The sequence below is a fragment of the Homo sapiens genome, chromosome 8 (genome assembly GCF_000001405.40).
Source record: "Homo sapiens chromosome 8, GRCh38.p14 Primary Assembly".
In the NCBI taxonomy this organism is placed as follows: Eukaryota; Metazoa; Chordata; class Mammalia; order Primates; family Hominidae; genus Homo; species Homo sapiens.
In genome coordinates this window covers 67,887,691-67,894,662 of record NC_000008.11, presented here as the reverse complement: position 1 = coordinate 67,894,662, position 6,972 = coordinate 67,887,691, and positions in this window count along the sequence as shown.

The following is a 6,972-nucleotide window of genomic DNA, read 5'->3' as shown; positions in this document are numbered from 1 at the left end:
TAGGCTACTCGGGAGTCAGGAACCCACTTGAGGAGGCAGTCTGCCCATTCTCAGATCTCAAGCTGCATGCTGGGAGAACCACTACTCTCTTCAAAGCTGTCAGAGAGGGACAGTTAAATCTGCAGAGGTTATTGCTGTCTTTTGTTTGTCTGTGCCCTGCCGCCAGAGGTGGAGCCTACAGAGGCAGGCAGGCCTCCTTGAGCTGTGGTGGGCTCCACCCAGTTCGAGCTTCCCGGCCACTTTGTTTACCTACTCAAGCCTGAGCAATGTCTGGCGCCCCTCCCCTAGCCTCACTGCCACCTTGCAGTTTGATCTCAGACTGCTGTGCTAGCAATGAGCGAGGCTCCGTGGGCGTAGGACCCTCCAAGCCAGGTGCAGGATATAATCTCCTGGTGTGCCGTTTGTTAAGCCCATTGGAAGAGCGCAGTATTAGGGTGGGAGTGACCCAGTTTTCCAGGCACCGTCTGTCACCCCTTTCTTTGACTAGGAAAGGGAATTTCCTGACCCCTTGCACTTCCTGGGTGAGGTGATGCCTCACCCTGCTTCGGCTCATGCACGGTGCGCTGCACCCACTGTCCTGCACCCACTGTCCGGCACTCCCCAGTGAGATGAACCCAGTACCTCAGTTGGAAATGCAGAAATCACCCATCTTCTGCATCGCTCATGCTGGGAGCTGTAGACTGGTGCTATTCCTATTCGGCCATCTTGGCTCCACCCCCTCCAGACAATTTTCTTAGAAAAATATATGAACTGGACAATAAAAACAAAGGCTTGCAATTAATAAATATTTTAAAGTAAATAAATACACATTGTATTTAAAATGTGGTGAAGGTTATTTGCTGATATGGTTTGGCTGTGTCCCCACCCAAATCTTATCTTGAATTGTAATAATCCCCACTTGTCAAGGGCGGGGGCAGGTGGAGATAATTGAATCATGGGGGCAATTTCCCTCATACTGTTCCTGTGGTAGTGAATAAGTCTCACAAGATCTGATGGTTTTGTAAATGAGGAGTTCCCCTGCCCAAGCTCTCTTCCCTGCCACCATGTAAGACGTGACTTTGCTCCTCCTTTGCCTTCTGCCATGCTTGTGAGGCCTCCCCAGCCATGTGGAACTGTGAGTCAATTAAACCTCTCTCCTTTATAAATTACCCAATCTTGGGTCTGTCTTTATTAGCAGTGTGAAAATAGACTATACGTTTGCCAAAGAAGATAAAAGACTTACAGTGGGTGGTATGGTGATGAAGGAGGGGTGTCAGAAAGATATTCTTTGGAGGATGTATTCTTACTTACGTATCATTCCCTTCACCAATTTTTCAGCATTTTCCAGGCTCATGGTTGCCTTGCATTCAAATCTACACCTACAATTAGTTACAGCACAGAAACATATCTTTAGTGCAAACTAAAGTCTAACTAACCATGAGAATGCTTTAAAATACTTCAAAGTAGCCCACACAAACAACATGCTGTAGAAGCTGCCTTCCCATCCTGTTTGCTTGTCTCATGTACACAAAGGAAAACATTTTGGGTGCATCCATCATGGTGTGCAATGTAAATTTGTTTCATATGCTATTCACTGACTAAACTGTTGTTCTGAGTGAATTTTAAATGTGTCATTGCCTGAAATTATAATGTTGAAATACCACTTATAGCATATATATTCATTTTGCTTCAGGGTGAAAATCTCTTTATCCTGGAAAAAATAAAGTCATCGTCTGAAAAGTAGTATAACTTTTCAAGATACTTTTTGTTGAAAAGTCACTAAGCACTCATTAGGTAAAGTAAGTTGTAGCATATTATAAGCCATGTACTCAAATCAATGAATGGATGAATCAAGAATAAAACACCATTCTTTTAGATTTGTTTTTTTCTAAGACATCTTGTTAGAGCATAAAACACTATTCTTCTAATAATCTTATTAGAAGATCATTTAAATCAATAGTTTAGCCAGTCAGTTGCCTGTAATGAGGAAGTTGTTTTGGTTGCAACAGTCAAAATGTCTTCAAAATTTTTGACTTGCTCTGTAGGCTATTTATCCCCATGTATTGAGGTGTTTTAGATTTCTTAGACTAGAGTGGAGACCTCACATTGGTTTTCAGCAATTTTGAAGCAGAAACTAGAGCAACATAACATGAATACCTATAGATTTTGGAGGGTGAGGAGGGTCATTATCTTATGAAGTCAGAGCAAAGAAACAGCCTTGAAGAGCAAAAGACCCTCATAACCCAGCACACCACCATGCTCTGGCCACTTGAGATCATGTGAGAAGGGCACCTGCGCCCACTCCCACCCATTCCATGTCAATCTTCAAGGAGCCCCTACTTTTTTGTACTCATTTGTCTTTCTTTACCTGTCCTTCTTTTATGCTCACCTGTTTTGCCGAACTCCTATTAATCCCAATGGAGAAGGCACCAGGTTCAAGAGACAGAAGAAGAGACTCAGAGCCAGCAAACAAAACGTGGGGTTTCACTGGGAACTTATGTACAGAGGAGAGATTCCAGTGGCAGTGAGCTGGACAAGATACCCTCATGCCCAGTGGTAGCAAGCTGGGCAGGAAAACCACACCTGCATACAGTATACATGGCATTTTCACTTACCATCCTCCTCTGAATGACCTCCACCTGGCAACTTTCATTTGACCCAAAACACATTTGACCCATCTGCTATACAGCCTGAGTTCCATGGGACAAGCTGGGGGCTAAGATGCTCATCATAGACAAGAAACAAATCTCTAGGCTGGTCACTCCCAGATTCCCTAGCTCAGAACACACATTCAGGTGCATCTGCCATACAGCGTTATTCTCAGGGCATGCTTAAATTATTGCTATCAGGTGTGTTTACTCCATCACCCTAGCTGTTTTCCTCCTAACACTAATCAAAGTCACCTTCCTTTGTATATGCTCACCCAATTTCTCACATCATCAGTACTTTATCCTACCTGGCAGGTCTCTCTTCCTTTCTTTCCTTCAGACCCTCGTCATGCCCCTTTCCAAGACCATGGCAGGAGGACAGGCCTGTGAGACTACCCAGCATTGTGATGTGCCTATATGTGTTTCTGTGCATACACTTTTATCTCTAATGTACCACTTTATATTTATGAGGCCTTTATGTGATCACTCAGACCTGAACTTATAATTTCTTTTTTCCAGCAAGAATGTTATTGCAAATGGCAAATAAGGATTTGTTAGCACCAAGAAGCACAGTCCCAGAGATTTTTGAATGTCTGATCAATTGCCATATAGGCTGAGAAAAACCTTAGCTATTGGCTATTTCTTACTACTTCTCCCACTTCCATTACCTTCCTTATCCTCCCCCAAGGTTATGATTACAAGACAAATTGAAACAAATCCAAGGATTTCAAATTTCCCTGAGGAAAGGTATTATAGATTTATGAAGTTTTAGTCCTAATCTGAATGGTCATCCAAACACAAAGTAGTTATTTGAAAGTAGAAGTAGATCCTGTCACCGATTTTATACAGAAAGAAAAGGAAGAAAAATTGATCTAAGATTTTTGCCTCCATGAGGGCTATTATATTTTATGAATATTGACTTGTTAACAAAGACAATAAGATTTAGAATCTAATAAAAGCGTATATAAACATTTGTAAAGGGATTTAAAACTTTTCCTATAGAATAACTTACATGAAGTTAATAGAAACCTTCCATCATCCCAAGTACCCTCTGGTGTGCGTATCAACCAGATATGGTGTCCATATCAACAGGGCTCAAGTGAACCTTCTATGCCTAGTTCAAAGAAGTCTCTTCTAAGAACAGAAACCTACTAAACAAAGAATAAAATACTTCTTTCCTCTCCTGGTTCTTATAAAGTGCTGATGTTTCCATTTTGCCTATTACGATCACTCTTACTAAGTGTAGTGGCTCATGCCTGTAATCCCAGTACTTTGGGAGGCCGATGTGGGCAGATCACTTGAGGTCAGGAGTTCAAGACCAGCCTAGGCAACATGGCAAAACACCATCTCTACAAAAAATACAAAAATTTGCTGGGCATGGTGGTGCGTGCCTGTAGTCCTAGCTACTTCAGTGGCTGAGATGGGAGGATGGCTTGAGCCTGGGAGGCGGAGGTTGCAATAAGCTGAGATTGCACCACTGCACTCCAGCCTGGGCGACAGAATGAGACCCTGTCTCATAAAAAAAAAATCACTCTCAAATTATTTTTCTGGGAATGAATACTCATTTCTGCTAGGCTTAAACTAAAACTCAAACCCACTTTTCAAATCCTGCTAGTCTACTTGGTATAGGTGAATGAAGTCACCTATTTATCTAGTACTTACTGCCATTTTGCCCATTTTCAAGTGTACAATTCACTGGTGTTAATTACATCCATGATGTTGTGCAACCATCACCACTATCTACTGTATTTCCAAAACATTTTCTTTACTCCAAACAGAGATTCTGTAACCATTAAGTAATAACTCCCAATTTTTCACTCATACCAGCTCATGATAACCTCTAATGTACTTTCTGCCTCAAAGAACTTGCCTATTCTAGATATTTCATGTAAGTGGAACCATGCAATAGTTGTCCTTTTGTATCTGCCTTATTTCACTTTGCATAATATTTTTAAGGTTCATCTGTGTTGTAGCATATATCAGAACTTCATTCCTTTTTATGGCTGAATAATATTCCATTTTACATATGTACAAAATTTGGTTTATTTATCTGCTTATAGTCATTTGGGTTGTTTCTCACCTCTTGACTATTGTGAATCATGTTGCAATAAACATTGGGCATATAAGTATCTGAGTTCTTGTCTTTAATTCTTTTGGGTACATACCTAGGAGTGAAATGTGTGGGTCTTAATGTCAATTCTATGTTTAGCTTTTTGAGAAATCATCTTTTCCACAAAAGCTATGCCATTTTACATTCTCATTAGCAACATAGGGTTCAATTGTTTCACATGCTTGTCAACACTTATAATTTTCCATTTCTTTAAAGTTATAGCCATCCTAGTAGGTGTGAATTGGCATCTCATGGTGGTTTTGATTTTACGTTTTTCTAATAATTAGTGATGTTGAGGGTCTTTTTCTGCACTTATTGCCCATTTGTATATATTCTTTCAAGAAATACCTATTCAAGTCCTTTACCCATTTTTAACTGGGTTGTCATCCCATCGTTGAGTTTTGGGAGTTTTTTAAATATTCTAGATATTAAACCCTTATAAGATAAATAATTTGAAAACATTTTCTCCCATTCTGTAGGTTATAGTTTCACTTTTTTTATAATGATTTTTGATGCACAAAAGTTTTTAATTTATCTATTTTTTGTTTTGTTGCTTATGCTGTTAATGTCAGATCTAAAAATCCATAGTCAAAATCTAAGGTCATGAAGATTTATTTACTCCTATGTTTTCTTCTAAGAGTTTCTGGTTTTAGCTGTTATATTTCCATTGTTGGTCCATTGTTTGTTAACTTCATGTAAGTTGATAATAATGAGTTATTATTTTTTAATAGACAGGGTTTCACTCTCATCCAGGCTGGAGTGCAGTGGCACAATCACAACTCACTGCAACCTCAAAGTGATCCTGCTGCCTCAGTGTTCTGAGTAGCTAGGACTACAGGCAAACAACACCATAGCTGACTAATTTTTAGAAGAAAAATTTTTTTAGAGATGGAGTCTTGCTATATTGTCCAGGCTGGTCTCAAACTCCAGGCCTCAAGTGATCCTTCCACCTCAGCTTCCCAAAGGGCTGAGATTATAGGAATGAGCCATCAGGCACATTCAGCCGTTTTGAGTTAATTTTTGTATATGTTATGAATTACCTATTTATTTTTGAAGATCATGTCTTGATGTAGGTGGCATGCTGACATGTGGAATATTGCAAGAATCCCCAAACACATACAAATTTATCTCCATTCAATGGAGTATGGATGTTTTCTCTGAATTGGAATAATAAAAAAGAAATAGAGAACAAAATTAATATTTCTTTTCATGTTTTAATGCAGAATACTAGATTCCTATGTAAAAGGAGAAAAAACATGGAAGTTTCAATCAGGTAAAACTTGTATTTCCTGTCATCTACAACACACTGCTTCTCCATACTTCATAAAATGCTTCCAGCTGAATAAAGGAAGGGAATTAGAGAGGAGAGTTTAGATAAGACAGACTCTAGAGAAAAATCTATGCTTACCTCCCAGACGGATTCACAGCAAGAGGAAGAGATAGAATCCCATATTTAGGCGATCTGAAAGCAGATGGGCGACTGTTATGCTTTTTACCTGGCTACACATGGAGGCTGTAAACCTCACTGACCATTCTCTGCATCCTCATGATGAAAAATGCTGGTGGAGATGGCCCCATAAGGCACCATATCTATAGGCATACAGAGACAAATGAGCCAGAGAGGAACCTCAGAAATATTTGCTGAGTGTTTTTACTCCCAGTGCTTGAGGAGCTGCCAAATTTCTCATATGAAACATTGTAAATTGCCCTAAGACTAGAGAGTTTCTCTTGCCATGACTTTAAAATTAAGGTCAAAACATAGTCAATTATATCTAGTACAATTATATATATCCAACGAAGAGGTAATATATTTTGCAGGAATAAAGAAGACACAGTGAGGCCTATGTTCAGCCTTGCCTCACCTTATGGCCAAAAGTTTCTCACCAAAATTCACCACTCTACCAGAATTTGGAGGGTTTGCCAATTTAAATAATTCTATAGAAACTAGCAACTAAATACAGTTGAATTTGTTTATAGGAAGTTGTATCAAGATGTTTTAAAAGAACACCAATATTTTATATGCTGCTTTTAGGAAGCTTTAAAATGATCATTTGAGACACTGTTGCATGCAGATAAATTCTCTAGTCTGCTTGTGTATCTCCAGTGCAATTTAAAACACAGATGCAGGCAAGAGAGAAGGGCTGGAGGCTAACAGAATTTGGCAGCAGCTGTAAGTCTTTCTTTTCCCGTAATAGCTTTGTAGATGTCAGCATGAAAGGACAAGACCTGGTCTCT